The sequence below is a fragment of the Homo sapiens genome, chromosome 7 (genome assembly GCF_000001405.40).
Source record: "Homo sapiens chromosome 7, GRCh38.p14 Primary Assembly".
Lineage (NCBI taxonomy): Eukaryota > Metazoa > Chordata > Mammalia > Primates > Hominidae > Homo > Homo sapiens.
Window position 1 is genome coordinate 51,067,921 of NC_000007.14, and position 27,693 is coordinate 51,095,613.

The window sequence follows — 27,693 nt, forward strand, 5'->3', positions numbered from 1 at the left end:
CCTTCGACTGCTTGCTAACCTGGCAGAGACGGAGTGAGGGTCAGTGGGCAGCTGGCCACTGCAGTGGAGCCCAAGACAGATGCTGCCCTGGTGCCTGCCGCTGCCTAGCCCCAGCCTGGCAGCTGGGCTCCTGACTAGAGCCAGCAATCCTGGTCAGCGGTTCTCAAGCCAGGCTTGAGCGGCAGAGGCGGTGGGCTGACCTCCTCTCAGCTACTTTTGGTAAACATGGTTTAAAGAACACACTCATGCTTCTTTAGCAGAAGAAAATTAAGTGGAGAAATTACCTTTGTTTCCTCTTGAAAACTTGGATAGGGGAGAAATAGTTCCAAAGGTTGTATGTGCACTCACATCCCCACATTTTCACTTCACAAAGGATGCATTCAGATGACTATTAAAATGCTGCGACCAGCTTTCTTTCTCCTCAGATCAAATACTCGCTTTATCATTAGGGTCATCAATTTTAACACTTAATGTTCTCCTTTTAAACAATTTCCCAATTAGCTAGAATGAAGTTTTACTTCTCAATTAATTTAGGATTTGTTATTAAAACCTATATTTTGCTAACTTTCCCATTCGATGTACAGTACTGTCATAAAGTAATATATATAGTTGTGTGCATGTCTTATGTACATATACACATATACATACACATACGCAGATTAAAAATGATGACTAAGGGATGCAAGGAAACTTGAGGGTGATGGATGTTTATTACTCGATGGTGAGTGATGGTTTCATGGTGTATACAAGAGTCGAAACTGATTATATTATATACTTTCTTTGTACATATGCAGTTTTTTGTGTGTCAATTACACTCCTATAAAGCTGTGAAATATAAAAAATAGCATAAAACCCAGAAATCCCCATCAATGTTCTTCCTACACTTCACTTTGCAATATTAAATGGAGACTTGTAGTTTTCCTACTAGAAGCTAAACGTCTCAATTTATAACCATTTACTATTATTTTATATTTATTGAACTTAAGTAACTCACTCTTCACATCTAAGGTTTCTGCTATGGAGCCTGAAGACTCCAAATGTAGGCCACTTGTGCAGTGAGTGACAGTTCCAGCTCATCAAAACGTTGCCCTCGGCCTGATCGCACCCAATCCTCACTAATATGACAATGACAATGTAAAGGGGCAGAATGGAGCCAGCAGACATGAAAGGTAATTTGCCTTCTGGGGCATTCCCTGCACAGCTCTGCCAATACACCACTGTGGGTGCAGATTCGGGGTTTGCCCATATGAGAGACCAGGTAGGAGAGAGAAATGATTGAGAGAGAAGGGCCAAGCGAAGGGCGCAGGGATGAGGCAGAAACAGGCCAGAGATACAAATATGCTTACTTCCACCACCAACTACACTTCTCTTGTTGGAACAGCAACTCTGTAAGTTTGTGCTGCATCTGCCTCTCTGGTCCTCTCAGGCTCCTGACTATAGGACATAATCACTTTCCCTTTAAATTTCTTTTTGGAAAAACATGAGCCTGAAAATACTGGATTCTTAGCCTGGGTGTTAGCTGTGGGATTGGTGGGCTCCGCAGTGCATGGCAAGTGCCGGCCTGTGCTCAGGGAGCACCTGCTGCCAAGCTATGCTCAAGGCTTACTTGAAGGATGTGAGCCCTTTGGGAAGGCTCTTTACACATTCCAGGAAGAACCAGAATTTCAAGCCAAATCTGACTTTTAATATTGGCAACTTTACCTGGCAGAGAGGATGTGTGTGTGGGCTAGACATGGCAATCTGCCATCCATTTCCATCCTGTGGTTGATGATTTGTGTGATTCAGGATGTCTTTATATTCCTCCCTACCACTTCTTATTCACACAAAACATACAAGGAAAGGATGCATCCACTCTTTAAATCTTGTCCCTTATGGGCCAAAGAAGAAAGTATGATAGATACTGACTATTCCATTTGCGTTTGGGTTTTATGTTTTGGTTATTTTTTCTCCTCACTTCCTGCCCTGAAGCCCTGTAGCAGATTTATCAACCAGGAAACAGTGTGTCCAGTCTAAATAATCTCAATAGATCTAATCTCTTTTGGGGGGGTTTCTTTTTCCCTTTACTGAAAAATATACTCAGAGCCTTATTTTATGCAGCTTCGTTCACGTAATAAAAGTTTGTTATTTTCTTAATAAGAAGGAAAAAGAAGGGTTATAACATAAAGCCTTTAAGGGTAAAATCAACACAGAAGTAACAGTAAATTTAAATCACAAAACTTCCAGCAAAGGGAGTTATTCGGCAAAAGGGTTACCAATTATGCGTTGCTATTGGTGACAAATAAAGCAAAGAAACCAAAAATATACAGATAACTCCTGAGCCTCATTTTATTTAATACTTGAACCTCTGTCTTCACTGAAGTGTTTGAAGTTTGCTTGTTGTCATTTTACCATGGTGACTAATAAGGTGCAAAAGCTATTTTGGGTTTTTCTCCTGCTCCACATTCCTTGGGTATGAAGGATGAAACAGTTAAAACACACACACACACACACACACACACACACACAAAATTCCGAGAAGCCAGAGGAAGCAAGTGCTCTGTATGTGGATTAATTTCTGGGTCTGGATAATCTGTAATTGGTTATGATGACTCAAGACATCTTGAATACTTGTTTGAAAGGCCCTCACTTTCTCTTGTAATTTTTGGAAGATGCACTCTTATCCCTATGGTAGAAAAGTTTGTTTTGTTATGGGAAATGTTAGTCTGCACGTGGAAACGTTTTGAATTACATTACATGAGCTATGGAAGTTGTGAACAAACTGTATCATTTTATGGATCCAAATTAGCATGAAAACTGTGAAAATTAACAGTTGATAAGCATCACAAACACAGATGCGATGTGTGACTGATTATAATGGGTGCTAAAATAAAATGTCAGTGAGTAAACAGTAACGACTTTTCCAAATTGTTTCATCTACAGAACTAGGAGTATTTATTTACAAGTAAGTGATTTTAGAATCATATGAAAAGGTCAACAGTACTGGTAAAGTGAGATGGCAAACATTATCATATAAACTAGCTTGCATTTTATAAATCACAGCATGCTCAATTGTCCACTGGCAACATGGTCTCCAGGGTGAAACTAAGAATTTAAGCCAACTATAGTTGAAAAATAATGCATAGTTTTTCTTTTACCTTAGCATTTGCTACAGAATTGGTATTCCCAAGGGATTCTTCATGCTCTCAACTTGCCTGCACGTCTCTAGTTAGAAAACGTGAGCTACCATCTTTTGTGGATAGGGTGTATGACATGATGGAAAAAAGAAACAGACATGGCTTATAAGGAGGAGAAATGACCTGTAACAAGGGATGGGTTCTAAGCTGAGTCAGAAATGAGAAACTTTCTGAAATGCAAGTGCTTTGGGAAAAAATGTTTCACCTAATTAATTTATCTGATTCTTAGAAGGCTCTAATGTCAGCACAGTGCCAAGTCACATGTAAATCTACAAAACTTGTTCATCAAATGGCCCTTCATTCTATCCAACATCTATCAGGCCATCTCTCATGGAGATCACTAGAGTATTGTCAAAGATCGACCACTCATGTCTTTGGCTAACTTTATGATCAAGTAAATTGGGGGTGCCATGTTCAAATTATATTCACCCCCTGTAAGCTGACTTAGCCCTATTGCATTTGTTTTCCCCCACCACATACCTCTGTCCTCTATTTTTAATTGAGTTTGATATACTTATTGCATCATATTTGCTGCCTCTCGAACCAATAATTCTATGAGCAGTATCACTTTCCCCTGTTCCAAGGATTTGCCTAGAGATTTTGTGTGCCCATCTTTCTTCAGCATAATAGCTACTTCTTACACAAATGCTTATTGCTGTAATTATATACAATCTTCTACAATCTTTAAGTCTGGGCCATAAATCCTAATGCTTTCCCCAACATTCAGGTAAACATTACCTTTTCTTGTTTAGACTTTCCCCATTTAATGATTTGAGGTCAAATGACTGCTACTTATCAGACAAAAGTCCTTTATTTCAAAAAAAAAAAAGGCCCTTTCTAACTTGTTCTATGTTTCATTGTGAGTAATTTCTGTAACTTTCTGTTTTTTTCACCAATACATAGCACTAAATTGGTTATATATAGCTTTGGCTTATATTTGTTTATTATTAATACCAATGTAAGTTGTGATAATTCCTTCATTAGTCATAGCTAACATTTTCATTGTGATCAGCCAGGCAACAATCCTACATGTCAGGAATACTTACTGATTCTTTTTTTTTTTTTCCATTTTGAGCAATAACATTTAAAAACATCTTTTAGAGAGAAACATGACAAGCTTCTCCAGTTCAAATGCATCTGCATAATAAAAGTTAATCAAAGCAAGCAAGAACTAGTTGTCTTTTTATCTAAACCTTGAATTTTAACATATGACTATTTTTACCTACTCTGCCTGTCTTGGGACAATGCAGTTGAGGTGACTAGCTCTTCGTAACTGGGTGAGGTTGTGTGACTGCAGAGGGATCTCACACTCAAAGAGGAGCCAGCAGCACCTCTGCACAGACATGGTGGTCACAACCTCTGGCATCTTTATCACATGTACAACCCTTGTGACTAGTACTTATCAAATGGAACCATCTTTACTTCTTTTCATGTGCCTGGGGAGCCACAGGTAGTAAAATCCAAGGCCAGAGGTCACGTGCTTGTTATTCACTCTTATAGCCCACAAAACTGGTGTAATACCTAGCATCAAGTAAGTACTATGTCACTGTTTAGTGAATAAATGGGTGAAGAAATGAATAGAATAATGAAGAGAACAGAATAATGAAGAGAATCATAATATAGAATAATGAATAGAACACCCTTCTTCTCCCACTTCTTTCTTTTTAGTGAACTATGTAAAATGGCAAAGTACACAGTAACAGGAAAACCTCAAAAACACAAAGACATTGGGTCCTATGTATCATTGAATGGATAGTATATATAAGTTGTGAGTTCCTAGTAACTACATTTATAGTTCATGTTTTTAGGCACTTAGTTTTACCAGGTAGACAGAAAGTTTCAGTTCTATCCAAATTGACTATACTGGTCAATTTATGGATACAATCTAGTTTTAAGAAAAATTGGCAATAAATTCTGGAACTGAATATCCAATAAGAAAAACATGAATTAATAATGAATTAAAATAAAGCAGAGTTCTTCACAGGAACATTTCCAAGTATCAGTGAATTTCAGACAGGTGAATATTATCAACCTAAAATTTGCATATAATTTACCTCCTTCAAAAAAATATAAACCTCAATCAAACAAATCTCTGTTATTAATGCATTTATATGTAAACCCCAAAGGAAGTAAATTCTGGGTATACAATGAGCCCTTTTATCCTGAAAGGAGGAAGAACAACAGGAAAATCAGAGCCAGGGCAGAAGAGACACTGGGAAAGGTCCGAGGTCAGGAAGAGGCCCGTCCATCAGAAGCGCTTGGCCTGAGTAGGGAATGACGCACAGCAATAAACTGCGGGGGGAAAATAAATGGCAAAATGTGAACGCACACTTGCGGTGAAATAAATATCTGCCATTATCATTCATTTTCCAGCCCCTGGAGATTTAACACTGCATAGCAAGCGTTCTATCAGCCAAAGCATATTGTTATTGTTTTCTTCCTTTCCATTTAGTCTTTTTGTATGCCAGCTGTGGAAAGGGCCTATTGATCCAACAGATATGATTCTGCCTCCTGTAAGAACCATATCATAAGCATCACTTCCCTCATGGTTGGTCTTTCAGGTTGCCACATAAAATTATTTGGATTTGGTATGAAACCTAAGGTCCTTACAAGCCGAGACACGAAGCAGCTGGTAGGCAAGTCATTTATTTCTTACCTCTTGAAAAACAGTCTAAGTTACTTGTAGAACTCCAGAGGAAAACAGACCATATGGCTTTGTGATGCCCTCAATTTCAGTGTATCCCATCTTGATAATGGTGACACTGGGCAGGCCCCACATATAAACTTAGAGAATACTGGTTGATTTACTGAGTTGGAGATGGATATCAACTCCAAGTACCTGTGGAGCAAACTCCTCTTGAGTGCTGCTGTTTTCTCTAGTGGGAGACTGACCTGTGGTGCAAAGGGCTATTACATGAGAGTAGCTTTAAATCTCTGAAGGCCTTGGGGGAAAGGGATTAAAATAAAGAAGGGCCATGCCTGAGTGCACATCAGCACCCAAAACCTCCTGAGACAAACAGTTTAGAAGACTATTGTCATAAGAGAATGCCTGATTCATAATCTCTATTTACTTCTTAACTAGTAAAACAAGGTAATGATTTTTTTTTTTTTTTTTTTTTTTGAGACAGAGTCTCGCTCTGTTGCCAGGCTAGAGTGCTGTGGCGCGATCTCGGCTCACTGCAACCTCCAACTCCCTGATTCAAGGGATTCTCCTGCCTTTGCCTCCAGAGTAGCTGGGATTATAGGCATGCACCGCCATGCCTGGCTAATTTTTGTATTTTTAGTAGAGATGGGGTTTCACTATATTGGCCAGGATGGTCTCGATCTCCTGACCTCGTGATCCACCCGCCTCAGCCTCCCAAAGTGCTGGGATTACAGGCGTGAAGGTAATGATATTTAATAACAACTTCAAACCATTGTTGAAAAATCAAGATGTTTATGCCTTATTTCTGGGAAGGACTCAAATTTATATAAACCCAAAGAGAAGTTCTTCAACATGGTTTTTATACGTAACCTGAGTACATGCTACTAGTTAAAGCTCAAGGAAACAAAATACAGTTGTGATTATTTGCATCAGCTTAGGGCTTGAGCACTCATGAAAATCAAAGAAATCTGTTCTCAGGTTTCTTAACTAAATAATATTACTTCTTTTCACCATTTCTATTCATATTTGTTACTACTTTGCAGTGGTATTTTGGTAAATGGTTAGTAACCAGCTCTTTGGAGGAAAAAGGTATAAATAGTTATAATCAGTTTTACTTATATAAAGGATAAGTAGCACAAAATTTATAAGTAATAATAAAATGCATAATACTATTTTTTGTAAATTCTGTATTACCAGTTGATTCTCATAGAATGCTTTCATTAATTTTTCCCAGATTCTTTAACCTGTAGCCAGTCAATTATTACCGTTAACAAAGAAGTATAACTTCAACATGATGGCATCAGACAGTAAGATGAGAATAAAACCAGAAAGATATATGTTGGAATTTTACTCATTTGTCAATCCCATGAATGACTTGGCTGAATTGATCATGGTTTTTGGAAAATGGATGTACAACTCAATTTTTTCTGCTATTCACAATGTATTGGCTACAGATATGACATACTTTTCTATTTAATCTGTATTATTACATTTCCCAATCACTGTCTTATATCTAGACAATTAACAAGACCAATCAATATCTGATTTGTAACATTTGCTAATTCCTATGCTATAAATAGTTTCTTGATGGTTGATTTCCTGCTATTGACATCAGTCACTGAATGCGGTGCTGTGAAGAGATGTGTAGTAGCACACTATGATATATTTTTACTATTCTAAAGCATTAAATCCTACAGATCCGATACATGTAAACAACCTCAAGAACACTGAAATAGTAATGAAATGTACTAAAATAATTAGGAAGTGATGAGTTTTTAGTATTTGTTACCTCTGTTTTTAATATTATTTATTTAATTGTATGTCTATATAATTTACTTTTTAATAGTGGATCTGTTCAGCCATTGGTTTGCAAAATTCCTGAAATTTTAACGATCTGCTTTTATGAGCTGGCAAAGTGCTGTTCTGTTCCACTGAGTTGTCACTAAGTTCTTTAATTCTCTCAAGTTAGGGACATTGTACCTTGTAAATAAAAGACTAAGAAGTAATTAGCAAAAAGAAATAGGCTCATAAGGTTTTTTTGAAAAGCTATATATAGATCTATTTTGATTCTCACTACTTCACTTCTAAGCTACATCCAATCTTCAGTCTATGTTGGGTTGACTTAATGGTTTTCAAGGTACAATAGTAACAGGTTAAAAGTTCAGTTCCGTTTTTTTCTAATGTACTTTTGAGTAGGGACAGATTCTGCTCCCACAGTTGACGATTTCCTTCCATTTTATGAAAAGGCCCATTTGCTCACGACCCACTTCCTGTTTTCCTGGATGCCATGCCTGCCCCGTGGCAGCAGGAACAGCTGTGTGGCTGGCTCTCCTGCCAGGGAAGGAAAGTGGCAAATAAACACCAGCCAAGGGCAAGAATGCTTCCCAGGGCTTGCTCTGAGCTCCACACCTGTAGTGTTTCATGGGTGTTTCCCACAACAAACAGGACTCACAGAACTGTGTTTGTGTCACAAGCTTTAGAACTAACTGCTTCGTTTTGAAATAGGAAAAGTACTTAGTTTGGGCTCAAATTTGAGAATAAGGCATTAGGGGACTCTAATGAGGACTGGTCCCAACCTAAGGGCCATCAGCCAAATTCCCGTCCTACCTTCTCCAGTTCCACGCCCTCTGCTCAAGCAGCACATGGCTGTTCACCGAGCCAGCAGCCCTTAGTGAGCATCTGGTCCCCAAGTGTAGAGATAGGATTGTAGCCACCAAATATTTCAAGCTGTGCCACAAGTATTTCTAGATTCGCAATTCGCAGTTCCTCTGCTCGATCACTTGCTTAAAATGTAAATCATTATTATTATTATTTCTGCATTGATCAAACTCAAGATACTCTCTTCTAATTCAAAATAGATAGTTCATTCCTCTCATTTTATTTCCTTGTTTTAGAATTTCCTTAAAGTTCTTTAGAATTGGATACTTGGTCACAAATTTAAAATCAATTAGCTAGAAATAGTATCCCTTGTTGGGGGGGGTTGCTTAGAACAGGAGACAATGACCTATCTTCCCTTTATGCCTTTTGATCTTTTGTCAATTACCCTGTAAATGTATGCCCAAGGAAAGATTTATTTGCTTAAGCCTGGTGTAGAAAAATGTGTAAGAAAATGACAGTCACTGAATATTTTCATTTTAAAAATGTAAAGTAAATTGAGGATCTGTAATTTGAGCTCCATATGCATTGATCTTTAAATCTCCAAGGTCTGCTAATTAAAATAGATAATTCATAACTTGTTAATAACCTAATTATAATCAGCACTGCAAATCTTGTAAATAAACAATTCAATGCACTAAGGGAATAGGCTCCATTATGGTGATTCACAATGAAGGTTCAACTGAAATCAAATGGCGGCAGAAAGCAAGCTGATTCGAAAGTTATGATGAAAAATCCGTATGCACACAACTGTATTGGTTTAGACATGCACATAAAGCATCTGTGTACATGATTAGATATCTGAAGTTTAATGCAAAATCTTATTAATAAGAAAAAACATGATTAAAGACCACAGACCTGGGAGCCAGTCTTCCATTGTTCTTAAAACCATGCTGGGAAACATCAAACACACACCAAAACCCTACTAGTGATGCCCTTTGTGACATGCAGCTTTGAGAGGTTACATAGCTTAGTAGCCCTTCTCCTATATGTGTGATATTTATCAACTCAGACTCTGCAAGTTGTCCTGACCATGACAGCCAGGAAGACATGGACAGCCTGGATCAGGCAACAGAAATCTCAGTTCTATACAAGGTGACAGCAGGGAGCACGAGTTTGTTCTTTGGCCACACACACCTTCACACTTGCCCTATGTTGCCTTTAAAAAGGCTGCACTTTGTCCACTGTAAACTAACTCTGGAAGAGACAAGATTATGCTTTCTACAGCAGGAAGTAATTTTAAGTGAGATCCAGTATTCTTCAGATTCATGTGATGAACACACCTCTTACTACAAAGACTATCAAGAAAGCAGATGCTTTAGTTCCTGAACGCTGAATAGGCATATTCTACTGCTAGGAGCATTTCTAATAGTTCCTCTGCTCCAGAAAAGCAGAAAATGAGAAGTGTAGGTGGAGGCTAGATTTGAAGTGGCCAGTTCTGCACTGAAATCGTCCCTCAAGGAGGATGGTTCCTTGGTGACTTTTGACTTTCAGATGCTTGGCCTTACTGTTTTTGAGCCAAATCACCCACTTGCTCTTCAACAGTGATTCACCATCCTCTCTGTACCTACTCATCACACATCCTACATGCTCCAGACTAAAATCAAACTGAAGGCTGCAACCCATGTGTAGTGCGCACTGCTGGCTGTTCACATAGCATATGTTGCCCATACTTCCAAGTTAACAGAACTCCAGTATTGACCAGTGACTTCCACGTACCTCAGAGAAAGCTGACCCCATCCCCGTCTGCCAGATGGGCCTGGCTCATCTAAGGTCATTCCATTCTTGCCAAAGAATTGGGTCAGTGTATTACTCAATTGTAGTCAATGAAATATGAGAGGAACTCTTTAGTGGGGGCTTTCTGGGAAAGGTTTCCTTTCTCCTACAAAACTATTAAAAGAGATAGTCTCTCTTCCTCTTATGAAAATTCTAGTGTCTGGATATGATACATGGAACAGCCACAGACCCATTGCTCCCAGCCTTAGGGGGAAGCTGACCCCAAAGATGATACAGAGAAGAATTAGGAAGAACTAAGATCCTTGATGACAACTTGGGCTTCAGATTCAACTAATACTGAATGCTACTCCACTCTGGGATTCCTGTTCCATGAGATAAGACATTCCCTAACTGTTGAAGTAGGTTTGAGATGGGTTTCACTTACTTGAAACTTGTTTTAGTTATCTATTGCTGCAGAACAAATTATCCTAAAATGTAGAGGCTTAAAACAGTAAGCATTGACTATTCCATAGTTTCTGTGAGTCTAGAATCTAAGCATGGCTTTGCTGGGTGCCTCTGACTCATGGCCTCTCACCAGGCTACAGTGCAGGTGTGGATCAGGACTATGGTCTCATCTGTAGGCTCTACTGGGGAAGGATCTGCCCCCAACTTCACTCAAGTGGCTGTTGGCAGGTTTCTAGGCTCATGATCAGTGGACAAAGGGCCTCAGCGCCTCGCTGGCAGTTGGCTGAAGTCTCCCTCAGCTCCTTGCCATGTGGGTCTCCGTAGAGCAGCTCACAGCGTGGTGGCTGGCTTTCCTCAGAGTGAGCAAGTGAGCGAGGGTGCCCAAGATGGAGACCACAGTCCTTTTCAACCCTAATCTTGGATGTAAGAAGTGACATCCCACTACCTTTGCCATATTCTATTCCTTAGATAGGAGTCACTAAGTACAGTCAGCATTCGTGGCAAGAGGCTACAAGAGGCTAGGGGGTGAACACAGGAGGTGGGGATCACTGAGAGCCACTTCAGAGAGGCCAACACACAACTGAAGGCATCCAGCAGCAAGGCCAGACCAAGAAACCACTCGAGAAGGTGCCAAGGCTGGATGCTGAAATCCACGGAGATTTTCACATCTTTCTCAAGTATAACTGCAACAGGTCTTTGATGCACTGTTGACTCTTGAGGGATGTCCTACAGACAGACCTAAAATGCTGGGTACTAGATGCTCTTTAGCCTGGAAAACATGTTTAATGAAGCTGAATAGAATAGCACATTCCACTATAATTTGATACTTGTAATTCACATGGTGAGATAAATTCTGGTATATTTCTTTATTAAATTTATGCTATGTGTCAGGCACCTATCTGAAGGACGGATATAAATATGAATAAAACAGTTAAGCCTCCAAGTATTAATAGCTTAAACTAGTAGAGGAGGCACATAACAGGTGTGTGTAATATGGTATAGTGAGTACAGTAAAGGATAAATGCCTAGAGGGCAGTGGGAGGAATTCCCACTGGAGGGAGTGAGAGGCTTGCCAGAGACAGGCACCTGAGGTGGCCACAGGGTGTGCACAGAGAACTTGCCCTGTGCAGCTGTGGCTTGAGCAGGCACGCAGCTCAGAGCAATCTGCACATGGGCTGGGTGAGCTGCAGAGCCGGCTGCCGAGAGGTGGCCTCTTAGAGCCACATACACCCGGGGAAGGTGGTTGCTCCACCTCTTCTGAACTCTTGATACAAACCATGTATTTGTTCAAAAGAGTTCAGAAGCCCCACATATACATGGCACTGAACATCTGAGCACACAGTTTTCTCCATTTGGCCTTTGTTCCAGGTAAATGTGGTTTTCATGACCAAATATCAAGTACTAATAACAGTTTCAGCATCAAAATTGGAGTGAGGGCTTTGTGCTTGGGCTGAGTTCCAGGCAGGCTGGCAGGAGGCTGGCTGTGGAAGGGAGGCTGGCAGTAGGCCTACTGGGACCCCAGCAAAGCCATCAGGCCTATGAGTGGGTCAAGACCTTACAGAGGTCAGGGAGGAGACAGGGGAATGGCTGGAACAGAATGGCTCAGAGTTGAAGAGATAAAATAAAGGGTGAAGTTGTATAGGACTTATTTATGTCTTCTCCTCACCCTCTTAAATCTGCGCACAAATCCATTATCCATTAGCTTTTTGAATCTTTTAATCTTATTTAGGTTAGTGGACACTGGTTTTCAAAAAAGTGTATTTCTCCTTTTTAACAACCTAAGTGGAGTATACCATCTGCTGTAGCAATCACAATGGATGTGAAAGCCACAGTGTCCCCTGGGAGTTCCTGCAGTGGCAGAAGAGAAGTGCAGGGTGATGGATGAAGCAAAGATTGAGAGTCCGAGATCCCATAAAGAGAAACCCCTCTGTACCGCTTATGGTGGTAAGGCCTCCTGCCTCGGTTTCCCCATGGTGTCTGTGCATACCCTACGAAGCAGTGAGAGAGCTTCTGTGAGATGCCTGGTGGACCGGCTGGGCCTCATATGTACTCAGGGTAAGCTCCCCTATAAACACAGCGTTTGTTATGTGAGGAACATAGTTTTAAAACTGAACTCAAGAGGAGATAGGCAAGTGCTTGTAGCTGGCATTAAAATGTCTCCACTGAGCTTCCACACAGCCAAAAATAGCCGGAAGTTTGCTCAGGAGCCCAGGGGTGAACATGGGCCACAGGGACGCACATTCACACCCAGCACTCAGGCGCCAACAGCCTGTGCCTCACTGGGGATGGGTGGAAGGAGCACCCAGATTTCAACATTATGAAAAACGATACAACAAATGAAAAGATTCATTTTCCTTAACTTTTTTAAGTCCTGAAGGCAAGTTGCATTCTGCCTGCTTAGGCGGGGAATCCTAGTTTGTAAAGCCATAAACAATGGGCAGGCTGGTTCTGCTAATTAGCAACATAAAAGCTCCGAGATGCTTGAACATGTGGTGCGCTGGCAGCCAGGAGCGCGGGGCAGGAGCGGGGCAGGAGAGGGAGGGGAGACTCTGAGTCCCAAGAAGGGCAAGGCGCTTGCCTGGTCTGAAGGGGAGGTGGAGTTGAAATCAGTGCACTCCATCTAACACCTCCTGGGGCCTCCCCATCCCAACCTCCTCTTCCCCCAACTCCATTGCTGTGGGCATGAGAGGGGAAGAGAGGGAGAAGGTGAATTATGACGCTGAGGGCAAAGGAAGTCCCAGGTGCCTGTACCTGGGGGAATGAACTGGTATGGAGTTGGCAAGAGGGCACAAGGAGGAAATGGAGCCACAAGGCAAGACGAAGGTGAGTCTGGTTTTCTCTCCGCCACTTCGCTCTCCTTCCGGCTCAGACCTGTCCAAAGGTCTAAGGGCAGCAGGTGGGGAGGTTCCACTGCTCTGCAGAGATGCAGGAGGAAGCCTGATGCTGCCTTGGTAAGTACCCCTCCCACATCTTGTCTGCCCGTTGCCCCAGCAGATGCTGCACCTGAACAGTGAGTGCCCCCAACACACAGGGAGCCCAGGAGAAAGCGAGGGTCTGCAAGTTTGCACCCAGCTCTCCCATCCTGTGCAGGCTGCCACAGAGCCACTGGTGCTGGGCCCGTTCTGTGACTGCCAACAGGCTGTACTTGGCTTTATAGCTTTCATCCAGCTATCTTTCCCTCACTTTTTCCTGCAGGAAGGAAATTCTGTAGGTGAGCACAGCGGCCACAGGAGAGAGCACCGACTCTCATGGCCTTGGTGTGTGGGGCTTAAAACCCACTGTCTTCAGAGATGAAATGGCTCTGGAGCCATCCACGCCACGGCTGCAGTCTTTCTGATTGATAAGCCTAACCCTTCCTTTTTGAATGCCCTAAAAAATTCATTTGCATTCGGAAGCATGTCTAATGTCAAGATGATCAAATGTATTTTAAGGGTGGAAAAGAAGTACTTGTGAAGAAAGATAAAATGAATCAGGATTATTTTGCCTAGAGAAAGTCAATAAGTAATCCAACAATTATCTTCTTTACCCAGAAGCTGGCAGGCAGCTAGTCAACACTTCCAAAGAAGACAGAAAAAGATAAAGCAGTCCAGTGGCAGAAAAGTATGAACTTCCTAACTAGAGGGCTGTGCACACTCATGTGGGCACCAGCAGGGCTCCTGGCCGCATGCACAGTGATATTGCGCTGCTCCGTGTACACAGCCCAGGATGGCACTTGCTTTATCAGAAGTGTCGCCGCCCAGCTGAGACATACTGAAGCGGTCCAAGCGCAGGCCCGACGTGCCCATAATGCCATGGAGTGTAGAGAGTAAGTGTATAAAACTATGCCTGTCCGGAGGTGGGAATGCTATCTCTACTTACTAAAGTCCAAAAGAACCCCAGGAAACAAAGAGAGCCCCATCTCAAACAGGGTGTGCCAGGAAACAGAAGCAAAGCAGGACTTCAATTCTGGCTTATTAGTACACTCAAAGTGAGCTGCTTCCCCTTCTCGTACACCTCAGTTTCCTTTTCCATAGAGAAGCAGTGCTCATGCTTGGCCGCTGGCGACAGAGTTCCACAGCTAACTTACGAAGGACGTCCTCCCAGCTCTTGAGTGCGATCTCTACAGGTGTGCCCACAGCCTGCCTGAGTTAGCCCACCATCCAGATCACACGACGGCTGTGCCGGACAGCTGTCTCTCTCTACAGACACTCTGAGGTTCATTCTAATATGAGAACACTGGCTCCTAGCTGACATCTCTACAACCACAAGGTGTGTGTTTAGCTGAAGTCTGACCACAGATAGGCATGATTACCTGGTTAAATTCTCCAGAGTGTGTTCTCTGTGAAATCAGACACACTGCATTCAGCATTGGGAAACAAGAGCTGAGAAGGAAAGGCACACACATCCAAAGACAAGAATGGAAAATCTGGAAACCCAGCCCTGACATCGCAGTGCTCAGAGAGATGAACAGTTAACACAGTCGGAATGAAGCAAGAGGAACATACGTTTGGGTATCGGGTCTGAGGCCTCGGAACCAGCGCCTTCCCCGGGAAAGCTGAGAGGCTCCACCACGTCTGTGTCGGGAGGAGGGTAGGGCGGGGGTGGGGGAAGCACTAACTGGGGTGGACCCCGAGCAGTGCCTCTGGGAGGCTTTTGTGGCACCTGCCGTCCACCACCTATATGGAATCAACAGGGAGTTACTTCAGCAGGTTAAACCAAGCCGTCACTCACTAGGCACCAAATCCAACCTCACTGGGCACCAGATCCAGCCACACTCAACACCAGATCCAGCCACACCTAACACCAGATCCAGTCATATCCAGCACCTAATCCATTCTCATCTGGCACCAACCACATCCAACCACACTCACACTTTAACATTTTACATACGTAGTGTTCTATCATTGGAGCAGTTTGGAAAGATGTGCCTGGTTGCAATTTCTTTTTAACAGACACAACTACATAAATGCTGGGCTTGAAAACTATTCTTCAACACCCTCGACAGAGCTTTGTCAAGTTTAAAGGAACTCCTTTTATTAATGTTAGTCTTTTTCAGGTTCACAGATCTGTTTTTAGCCTACTCTTGTTGCTTTTCTAGAGCCACTGACCTATTCTGGCTAGATTAAGCATTCATTTAGCTTATCTCCTGAGTCCATTTATACTTTTCAACCCCTTTGGTTGTTTAGAATAATAGTTCTCCAAGTTTGTTTTGAAGAATGTCCTGAGTTGTAGAGAGGGTGGGGATGTTGTCCCAAGCACATGGGACACAAGGACTCAGGCCTCCAGGGCGGAATCAGGGGGTCCTGCCCTGGGTTGAAGTGACTGGCCTAGGGATTGGCACGATCCAACCACATACAGCCATTTACAGTGGATGCCACTTAAAATTTAAACCAGGGGCTTTTGTCCATTTATGAAAAATGGGGAGAGAGCTTGGAAGGGAGAATGGGGGGCTCTTCACGAAACAGGAGAAAACCAGGTTTATTTTAATGATCCACTGATAATGTTTTCTTTCAGTCCTTTGGGAAAGAGGATGAGCTGACATGGAATACAGGTTATTGCTTCTTAAGGTAACTGACTCCCAGGCTGAAATGCTAACACATTAAAAGCGAGGAACTGACTAAGGGGAAAGACGCTGACAAACTGCCACGGAGCTCTCACTAAAGGTCCAGAAACTGCCAAGGCAGCCACTTATCTCAGAAGGACTTTCCCTCCTGCAGCTGCAGACCTTAGGGCAAAGGCAAAACGCGGGGCTGCCTGGGTGGGTTAAAGGGCATGGTGAGTGGCCTGTGAGTGCTGGTGGCTTCGTCGTGAGCACTGACACACGCCATTCTTGGGGCTCTCAGCTCAGGAAGGTGTGACTCCTAGGCTGCCATTTTCCAACCACTCCATGGAAGAGCCATTTCTGTTCCAACATAAGTGAAATAACAAATGCTGAATGATTTAAAAAGAAAATGAACCCTTGACTCCCCTGGACCTGGACAGCGCCATCATTCAGCTTCTCTCCACCTCGCCTGTAGCACGAGGGGTGGGCTATGATGATCTAATAGGTCTCTTTCTGCTCACAGATAGTATAATTCCATCTTCTTTCCTCTGGGCTCTCTTTCCCTCAAAGAAAATCAGGGTCTTTGCTAAATGTGTACCAGGTAATATAAGTGGAGATCAATTTCAAACAGGATGGTCCAAAAATTACTGAGCTGATGTCAACTTGTCTATACATCACCTGTGGCCTAAGATCTCTTTGAAATGCCAAATGTCCTTCAAAGCAGTTTCCACGATGTCACCCTAGGAACTTCTCCTTTTGCCATCAGAGACACACGTCGCACACTCACACTCACAGGCTTTCCATTTTCACCCTCTCCCGGCTCCTGCAGCCGTTTCTCCCCTTCCACCGTCCCCCGCCTCCTAAATGCTCACATAATGCCCACCAAATACTGCTAGTAAGATATGAAGTGAACTTGCAATTATTTCTTTCCAGCCCTTCTTTCTTTAGCATTAATATTTTTTGGGTTAATGTCATTATGGATGAGGCCACTGCAGGAGTTCACATCAGAGCTGACATTCCAGGACAGAGCAAGCATCCCCGCATGCAGACGGCAGGCCGAGCCTCACTCACCCATCGTGCTCTTCCTGTTCTCCTCCTTATCCTCAGTGCGGTTGGGGATCAGGGGACTCGGTGGTGGTGGCTGTGGTGGAGGGGGAGCTGGCGCTCGCCGCTTCTTCTTCTGTAAATCAATCTGTGACCCAAGAGATACCTATGAAGTACAAAGAAGGAAAGTACAATCAAAGTACTTTGTACCTATGAAGTACAAAGAAGGCAGTATTAGGGTGATTGTGCTGGGGCAGGGACCTGCACCGGAAGGTGGTGCTCCAGGAGGGTTGTTAGATGGCCAGTTCCCTTTCCAGGTCCTCCCACACAGGCAGGGGAGGCCATGAGGCGAGAGACCAGCGGATGTCCAAGGAGTGGCCTGGAGGTGGCACAGTGTTGCTCATAGACACCCCAAAGACCCCTATGAGCAGGGAGCTCATATTTTCTAGGGACTCCAGGCAAGTCTGGAGAGTTGGTAAACTTCCCTGTCACACAAGAGAATGAGACCCATAGTCCTTCATTAAATGTAAGGAGAACAATTCCTTCTGGAACAGGATGGGCTGCCGTGAATTGTGATCACACAGAGGAAGAGCTGATGGGGGCAGCTCAGACCTCACCCTGCTCTGACTTAGGTTTGTTTCCCTGACTGCATGTTCACGTTCCAGAGCAGCTGCAGCCAAGACTATCTAATGGTCCACAGGTGGACACATCTTGATCCAGAATCGCAATGAAGTTTCTTAGTATATGGGTTATTAGATCGGTGTATGGGACATTAGCCCCCAACCACAGCAGAAATCCAGCTCCTGCTCACAGCTTTCAACAGTGAAAGACACACAGCTTCTAAAGGCAGCTCATGAATACTGGGCAGGTCTAATTGCTGAATGTGAAATCTGTTTTGTCTGTAAAATTGAATTCACTGATTCCATTTCTTTGTTTCTGAAGGACTACATAATCCTACTCTCCTCTCCTCCTCATTAGGGCGAAAGTTTTTATTCGTTCACTCTCATTGATTAAAATTCATTGATTAAAGAACATTGTGTATAGAGCAGTGCAGAGTATGTGCAAAGAATGGGCCAGGCATGGTGGTGGACACTTGTAGTCTCAGCTACTCAGGAGGCTGAGGCAGGAGAATCGCTTGAACCCAGGAGGTGGAGGTTGCAGTGAGCCGAGATCACGCCACTGCACTCCAGCCTGGGTGATGTAGCAAGACTGTGTCTCAGAAAAAAAAAAAAAAAAAAAAAAAAAAGAATGAACATGGTGACTATCATATGACAAGAGCTGTCCTGCTCTCTAGTAGCTCAGAGCCAAGTCTGTACCTCCAGTCCAAGTACTTCCTGGCCTTCCAAGGGCTCATCATAGGAATGGTGCCTGCAACACCCTGCCTCTGCCACTTCAACTCTGACCTTGGTGCTCTCTGGTTTATTAACTCATGCTTGCACCATGTGTACCACGTATATGGGAGAGAGAAAGGGGGAGAGAGACAATGAGAGGGAGAGAGAGAGAGAGAGAGTGTGTGTGTGTAAAAAGTCTCCTTTTAATTTTTATCAGCAGTACACATTTATTGCAAAAAAGTTAAAAAATATATGTAAAAGGAAGAACATAATCACTTTATTAATACTCAAACTACTAACAATTGGCATGTTTTTCTAGACTATTTTTTCTTCTAAAAATATTTTTTTCTTTCCTTCTGTTATAGTATATTATAACCACCTCCTATACCTCTAAAATTCTGTAATATATTTTACATAAAACATGGACATAACAGAAAGTAAATAACCCCATAAAGATGAGTCAAAACCAGCAATTTATTGTCCACCACCCCCTCTCCAGCAGTAAGCATTTCACATTTTTTTTTTGGCATTTATTCCGTTTTTCTAAATAAGAAGCTTATTGTACTGTTTCTTGATTTTTCCATGTTAGGTATTGGCATCTACTCCAGAAGATGAGGATTTGGTTCTTTAAGACACACACATACACACAAACACACACACACACACACAGAGACATACACACACACACACACGCACAGACTCATACTTTTCCTCTCCATTTTCCAAAAAATTATAGCAAAAGATTTAAATTAATATTTACTATTTAGTTATATATATTTAGTTATAGTAGATATCAAAATTATGAAAAATATAAGTTTTCTTCAGCAGGAATTTTCTCCTCCTGAGATGTATAATGTATATCATAATTACAATTTCTAAATTACCTTTTTGTTTTCCCTGAACCTGATAACTGATTTGTTTTCTAGCTTTTTTCTTTAATTGCATTTCCTGGAAATTCCCATTCCCTCTATTCAGTTCTGATCCTTATGGATATTCCACCTGTTTTGTGTGGGGTTTTTTTGGTTGTTGTTGTTGCTTGTTTTTTTTGAGACAGAGTCTCACTCTGTCGCCCAGGCTGAAGTGCAGTGGCGCGATCTCGGGTTCCAGTGATTCTCCTGCCTCAGCCTCCTGAGTAGCTGGGACTACAGGCACTGCCACCACGCCGGGCTAATTTTTGTATTTTCAGTGGAGATGGGGTTTTGCCATGTTGGCCAGACTGGTCTTGAACTCCTGGGCTCCAGTGATGCACCCGCCTCGGCCTCCCGAATTGCTGGGATTACAGGTATGAGCCACTGTGCCCGGCCCCGCCTTTTTTTTTTTTTTTTTTTTAATTCTCTGCATCTTAGTGGTTCCCAGTTTCCAGCAACTTTCTGACACAAGATGCGTATGAGGAAGATTTTTGAGACCTTCAAAATGTAAGAATGTTTTTATTCTACTATACTGGACAGTCAGTATAGATGCCTACAGGAACCTAGGATGAAAAGAATTGTCCCTCAAAATGCTAAGCCATTACTCCACTGTCTCCTAGTTTGGAACTGTTCAGCTGAGACACCCGGATCCAGAGTGGGGCTCAATCTTCTGCATAGTATCTGCTTTTCCTCTGCAGGCTCAGGGGCTTCTGAGTCCTTCCTGCTGGGAAGTTTCATGATGGCAAGTGCTGGGTGGGGCTCTTTTCATTCATTGTCTGGGGCATTCACTGACCCCTGCAATCTGAATATCCTTAATTCTGCAGAATTTTTTAGTGTTATTCTTTTCAACTTTTTCTTTCCTCTGTTTCTTTCTCTCTGGGATTTCAATTAATTCAACACTGAGGATTCTAATTCAATTGTCTATTTTTTTCTTGAGTACTCTTGCCTAAATTTTTTCTGATTTCCCCCCCTCTTGGAAATTTTCTCCATTGTAAGACTCATGAATTTTTAAATTAGTTACTGTTTTTTTTTTGTTTTTTGTTTTTAATTTCCAAGAGCCCCTTCTTGTTATGTATTTTAAAAATAGCATCATGGTCTTGTTTCCTGGATACCATAGCTTCTCTTTCCTCTCAGAAGCTATGCTTTATGCTTTATATCTTTTTCAAGACCACATTTTAATTTCCATTTTCTTCAGCCATATGCATCGCACTTTCCTCCAGCATCCTTTCTGCTCTCTGTCTTGGCCTCTGCTTATCATATTTTGAGTCTTCCTCAAATTCATGACTGATTGTTTATAATATGTATGTTTCTGTGTCTAGAGTCTGTTCACACAGTAATGGGATTCCCAGTGGGGATCTGGGCAGAAATGCAGTAGCTGAGAGATCCCCAGATATTCATACCTGCAGGATTGTCTGCTAGCTCGGCCATCTTCTGCACAGGGGAAGCCCAGCTCCTGCCTGAGGGAAACTAGGCCTTCCCGAGTACTCTGGTGAGAGGGCCTTGAAGCTCTCCTGTGGCATGTGGGTTTTCGCTTATCCCTGTGTCGGTGCAGACTTGGTTGTGCCTGATGTCCTGAAGTCAGAGCCTCTTAGTTCTGCCACTGCAGGGGGTGGCAGTGCAGACATCTGGTTGTGGTGGGCAGGCAGGGGTATGGAGATCTTACTGTTTCACATGCAGGCATTCAGCCATTCCTTCATCATCAGCTCGTTCCACGGTCATGTGCAAACAAACATGTGCCCCAAATTCCTGAGTGTCCTAGGATCTGGCGTCTTCTGCTGGGCCTCTTTCACCCAGCAGTCAAGTTTCAGCTTCTTCTGCTTTACTAGGTATTTATCACAATCTAAATACACCGCAGGCTGGGCACAGTGACTCATGCCTGTAATCCCAGCACTTTGGGAGGCTGAGGCGGGTGGATTACTTGAGGTGAGGAGTTTTGAGACCAGCCTGGTCAACATGGCAAAACCTTGTCTCTACTGAATATATAAAAATTAGCCAGGCGTGGTGGCGGGCACCTATAAGCCCAGCTACTCGGGAAGCTGAGGCGGGAGGATAATTTGAACCTGGGAGATGGAGGTTGCAGTGAGCCGAGATCATGCCAGTGCACTCCAGCCTGGGCAACAGGGCAAGACTCCGTCTTAAAAAAAAACAAAAAACAAAACACTGTAGTCCCCAAAGTGTCTACTGAAAACTGTCATCAGTGGCCATTGCTTCTCTCGTCTTTGTCACAGTGAAGTAATACTTTTTTTTAGTGGAGTTTCAGAGGGAGAGACATAGATTTGTTTTGTTAGCCATATATTTTCCTGTAATTTTTCAGCTTTACTGAGGAACAAACAAGTAAACATTGTGTGTGTGTATGGTATACAACTGATGATCTGATATACATATCTATAGTGAAATAATCACAAGCAAGCTAATTAACATATCTATCAGTTCACATCATTACCATTTATCTTTTTTTTTTTCCTTTGTGGTAAAAACACTTAAAATCAACCCTCTTAGCAGAATTTCAACTATTTTTTAATGGCTGCCTAGTACTCCACAGAATTGATGAGCCATAATTAACTAAATTAGCCCCTATTGCCTTTAGCTAAATATTAAAATTATTTGGTTTTGGCAATAACAAATTAAACTTCTTAAAACACTCTGTAATTTTATCTTTTCCTCACATTTCTTTTTCTCTCTTTATTTTTCGAGTTTTCAATAAATCCATTTACTAAAACTCCTCAGGTATACAACACATAAAATTCAGTGAAGAGACAAGATCCTAAAATTGCTATCTCAATTTTAAGACTCCTTGTCATGAAGAAGTGATGTTGACTAGATAGCAGAAAAGGAAGCCCCGCACCTCAGTTTCCCCACAAAGACATCAACTTAACAGCAATTTGTAATCCAGAAGCTTTTATGAGAACTCCAGAAACCAGTTAAGAAGGCACAGGACCATAGGCAAGCTTAATGCCAAGAATGGCCATGCTGAAATGGGTAAGAAAAGCCATTTCACCTCAACTGTGACAGCCCTTCCCCTAACCCAGTATCGCTCAGTGTCTGCAGGAGAAAAGCCCAATTCATGGCTTTTCCCTTGGGAAGAAAAGAGAAGAATGGAATGTACATCTAACATTCCAGCTTTTCAGGGGGGCTGCCTGAGGGACTAGTTTATGTCTCGACTGACTGGGAGCACTGATGGGAAACTGGCACACTTTGAATGCCTGGGAGCTACTGAGAAAAAAGGAGCTCAGAGGCTGGTTGCAACAGCAGAGATCTGCCAGTGCCACAGGCAAAGGCCAGCACAGCTCAGTGCAATCAAGAGAAAGCACCCAGCTCACTGCTTATCCCTCGGGAGGAAATGAGTAAAAAGTACATGCAATGTTCTGGATTTGTGGGGAGGCTTGTTCAGGGACTGATTTCTGTCTCAGTTGACCAGGAATACAGACAAAACTGAAATACTATGGATGACTGAAGGCTTTAGAAAATAAGAGAGCTCAGAAGCTGGCCGCAGTGCCAGAAAATCTGCAGTACCATAGACAGATGCAAGAGAGAGCACGAGATTACAAGCTCATAAAGAAGAAATCAGCAAACCTTCTAATTGGAAAATACACCAACAAGCCCAGGGAAGATGGATATCCAGAAAAGGGTTGAGAGGCCCCAAGAATCTCTAGCTGAGCTGACTGACATGTTATTACACTGTAAGAAGCCAGTCCGTAAAGGCTGGAAGAGGTGGCTATTTTGTCAAATGCACAAATTACATTAAAAAATAACAAGGTACATGAAGAAACAGGGAAACATGGCCCAATTAAAGGAACAAAATAAACATCTAGAGAGAAATAACAATAAATGGAAATCTATGGCCAGAAAAGACAAAAAAATTAAAGTTCAGTGCACTACAAGAGAATACTCAGAAAGACAGCTAAACAAAATCAGCAAAACTATGCATGAATAGAATCATATCAATAAAGAGACAGAAACTATAAAAAACAGAAGTTCTGAAGCTGAAAAATAAAATAACCGAACTAAAAAGTTCACTGGAGGAGTTCAACAGCAGGCTGTATTAAGAAGAAGAAGAAATAATCAGTGAACTAAAAGACAGGTCAGTTGAAATTATTGAGTAAAGGAATAAAAAAAAATTCAAAAATTGAACACAGCCTTAAGGACTTTATGGGACAATGCCAAGGGGATGAAAATATGCATTATGGGGATCAGAGAAGGAGAAGAGAGAAAGGGGCAGAGAGTTGATCTGGAGAAGTAATGTCTGACAATTCTCCAAATTGGAGGAAGGAAATAGACATACAAAATTTTAAAAGCTCAAAGGACTCCAACTAGAATAAACCCAAAGAGGACCATACCACAATTCATTAAAATCAAGCTATCAATAGTCAAAGACAAAGAAAGAAACTTGAAAACAGCAAGAGAAATTGATTCATCACTTTCAAGGGAGTCTTATAATATTATCAGTAGGTTTCTCAGTAAAAACTTTGCAAGCCAGAAGAGGGTGGAATGACATATTCAAAGTGCTAAAAACGGAGAAAAAAAACGCCACCTGCCAATCAAGGATACTTAAAAACTTCCAACCAAGAATAGTTTATCTCAGGGGTTCCCAAACCCTGGGCCACAGACCAGTACCAATTCGTGGCTTGATAGGAACCAAGCTGCACAGCAAGAGGTGAGTGGTAAGTGAACAAGCATTACTGCCTGAGCTCTGCCTCACATCACATGAGTGGCCACGTTAGATTCTCTTAGGAGCGCAAACCCTATTGTGAACTGTGCATGCATGGGATCTAGATTGTGCACTCCTTATGGGAATCTAATGTCTGATGATCTGAGGTGGAACAGTTTTATCCCGAAACCATCCCTGCCCCACTGGTCCGTGGAAAAATTGTCTTCCACAAAACTGGTCCCTGGTGCCACAAAGGGTGGGGACTACTGCTTCATCTGGCAAAACTATATTTCAAAAGTGAAGTCGACTCATTCAATAAATCAATGCCGAGGCCAATGTCATAGAGCTTCCCTCTATGTTTTCTTCTAGTAGCTTTATAGTTGCAGGCCTTACATTTAACTTTTTAAAAACCATTTTAAGTAGATTTTTGTATATGGCCTGAAATAAGGCCCCAATTTCATTCTTCCATATGTGGATATCAAACTTTACCAACATCATTTACTGAAGAGACTGTTCTTTCCCCATTGTGTGTTCTTGATACCTTTGTCAAAAATCAATTGACCATAAACACTTGGGTTTATTTCTGGGCTTTCTGTACTGTTCCATTGGTTGATATGTCTGTTTTTTAGCCAGTACCATGCTGTAGTCAAAGCTATTGACTACAATAGCTTTACATTTCGAAATCAGGGAGTGTGATGCCTCCACCTTTGTTCTTTTTGCTCAAGATTTGGATTCTTTTCTGGTTCCACAGTAATTTAAGAATTGTTTTTTTCTATTTCTTTGAAAAAAGACATTGGAATTTTGATAAAAATTGCATTAAATGTGTAGGATCACTTTGGGTAGTACGGACATTTTAACAATATTAATTATTTTAATCCATGAACATGAAACATCTTTCCATTTTTGTGTGCCCTTTCCAATTTTTCAGCATGCTATATAGTTTTCAGTGTACAGATCTTTCACCTCCTTGTTTAAATTAACACATACAAAAATTCATAAATAGGAATGCATTAAACTAAATAGCTCCTGCACAGCAAAGAAAACAATGAACAGAGTGAAGAGACAATCCATGGATTTGTTAGAAAATATTTGCAAACCATATAGCTGATAAAAGGCTAATAACCAAAATATGTAAGAAACTGAAACTCAATAGCAAAAAACTAAATAACTGAATTAAAAAGTGGGCAAAGAATGTGAACAGACATTTTGCAAAAAAAAGAGAGATACGAATGACCAACATACATATGAAAAAATGTTCAATATCGCTAACCATATGAGAAATGCAAAGTAAAATCTACAGTGAGGTATCACCTCACACTTGTTAGAATGGCTATGACAAAAAAAGATGAATGAACCCTTGTGTATTGTTGGTGAAAATGTAAATTAGTACAGCCATTTTGGAAAATATGTTGAAGGTTCCCCAAAAAACTAAAAATAGAACTACCGTGGGATCCAACCATCCCCACTTCTGAGTACTATCCAAAAAAATTGAAATTAGTACATCAAAAGACATCTGCACTTCTATGTTCATTTCAACATTATTATGAATGCCACAGCAGGGCTGTATGAGCCAACTATCCCCACAGCAGGGCACAATGGCTCACACCTGTAATCCTAGCACTTTGGGAGGTTGAGCAGGGAGATCTCTTGAAGCCAGGAGTTTGAGACCAGCCTGGGCAACACTGCAAGACCCTGTCACTACAAAAAATGTTTTAAAGTTTAGCCAGGTATGGTGGCATGTGCCTGTAATTTCAGCTACTCAGGAGGCTGAGTCAGGAGGATTGCCTGAGCCCAGGGATTGAAGGCTGCAGGAGGCCATGATGATATCACTGCATTCCAGCCTGGGCGATGGCACCAGGCCCTGACACCAAAAGAAAAAAAAAAAAAGTATAGTCAAGATATAGAATTACCCTAAGTGGCAATCAACAGATACTTGGATAAATTGTTTTTTATATACATATATATATATGTATATAAAACACATATATTTATATTACATATATATGTAACAATACACAGCCTTTAAAAAGAAGAAAATTCTGTGATTTGTGACATCATGGGTGGAACTGGAGGACATTATGCTAAGTAAAATAAGACAGCACAAAGAGACAAATACTGTATGTTCTCACTTATATGTGGAATCTAAAACAGTTGATCTCATAGAAACATAATAGAAAGGTGGCAACCAGAAGCTGAGGAGTAGAGGAGAGAGAGGAAAAGAGGAGACATTGGTTAAAGGGTGCCAAGTTTCAGTTAAACTGGAGGAATAAGTTTCAGTGCCCTGCATGGTGACCATAGTTAATAACAATGTGTTGTATATCCCATAATTGCTTAAAGAATATAATTTTAATAATCTCACCACAAAAAAAAGTTAGTGAGGTAATATATATACATTAATTAGCTTGATTGAATATTTTGACAATGCATACATAGATTAAAAATCACATTGTACCCCATAAATATAAACAATTATTATTTATCAATTAAAAGTAAATAAATTTTTAAAATAAAGGAGAAATAAAGACCTAGCTAGATAAATAAAAGCTGATGAAGTTGATCATCTCTAGACCTGCATTACAAGAATTGGTAAAGGAAGTCTGTCAAGTTGAAAGGAAAGGACACTAGTTAGCAACATGAAAGCATATGAATATATAAAGTTACTCTCTGATGGAGTAACTATATAGACAAATACATAATCCTGGAATATAATATGTTCACAATAGTGTGTGAATAATTTTTAATTCTGGTAGAGAATTTAAAAAATAAAAGCATAAAAATATAAGTATAAAACTGTGAATAAATACAAAGTATGAAAATATGTACTTTGTGACATCAAAATATGATGTGTATAGGGTGAAATGCAAAGGAAAACAGCTTTTGTATGTTACTGAAGTTAAATTGTTATCAATTTAAAAGAGATTGTTATAAGATTTTTATGTAATCCTCATGGTAAGCACAAAGAAAATACCTACAAAAGATGCACAGGAGAAATGAAAAGGAATCAAAGTCTGTGTATTAGTCTGTTCTCATGCTGCTAATTAATAAAGGCATACCAAAGAATGGGCAATTTATAAAGGAAGGAGGTTTAATTAACTTACAGTTCCACATGGGTGGGGAGGCCTCACAATCACAGTGGAAGGTGAATGAGGAGCAAAATCATGTCTTACATGGCGGCAGGCAAAGACAGCATGTGCAGGGGAACTCCCCTTTATAAAACCATCAGATCTCATGGGACTTATTCACTATCATGAGAACAGCAAGGGACAGATCCACCACCATGATTCAATGACCTCCCATTGGGTCCCTCTCACGACACGTGAGAACTATGGGAGCTAAAACTGAAGATGAGATTTGAGTGGGGGACACAGCCAAACCATATTACTATGTAACTACAAACGTCAACAAAATACAAAGGAGAGTGCCAACAGAATAAAAGAGCAACAAAACTACAAGATATACGGAAACCAATTAACAAAATAGTAACAAGTCCTTCTCTATTAGTAAATAATTAAATGTAAATGGATTAAACTCCCCAATCAAAATATATAATCAAAATATTTAATCCATTCATGGCTGAATGGATTAAAA

The 27,693-nt window shown here is 41.4% G+C and overlaps 1 protein-coding gene across 23 annotated transcripts in view; it reads right to left on the reverse strand.

Annotated features, from left to right (window-relative positions):
• Positions 1–27,693, reverse strand: part of COBL (cordon-bleu WH2 repeat protein) — a 300,598-nt gene that overhangs the window by 51,709 nt on the left and 221,196 nt on the right. For 12 of the 23 annotated variants that reach the window (NM_001346441.2, NM_001287436.3, XM_005271751.1 and 9 more), the window contains 2 exons: positions 17,246–17,384; positions 15,138–15,308 (listed from right to left, as the gene is read on the reverse strand). In NM_001346441.2, the coding sequence (NP_001333370.1) occupies positions 15,138–15,308; positions 17,246–17,384 (310 nt within the window). Of the gene's footprint in view, positions 1–2,907; positions 5,466–15,137; positions 15,309–17,245; positions 17,385–27,693 lie in introns of those variants that run through there. The other 11 variants (NM_001346443.2, NM_001346442.2, NM_015198.5 and 8 more) reach the window with 2 other exon arrangements.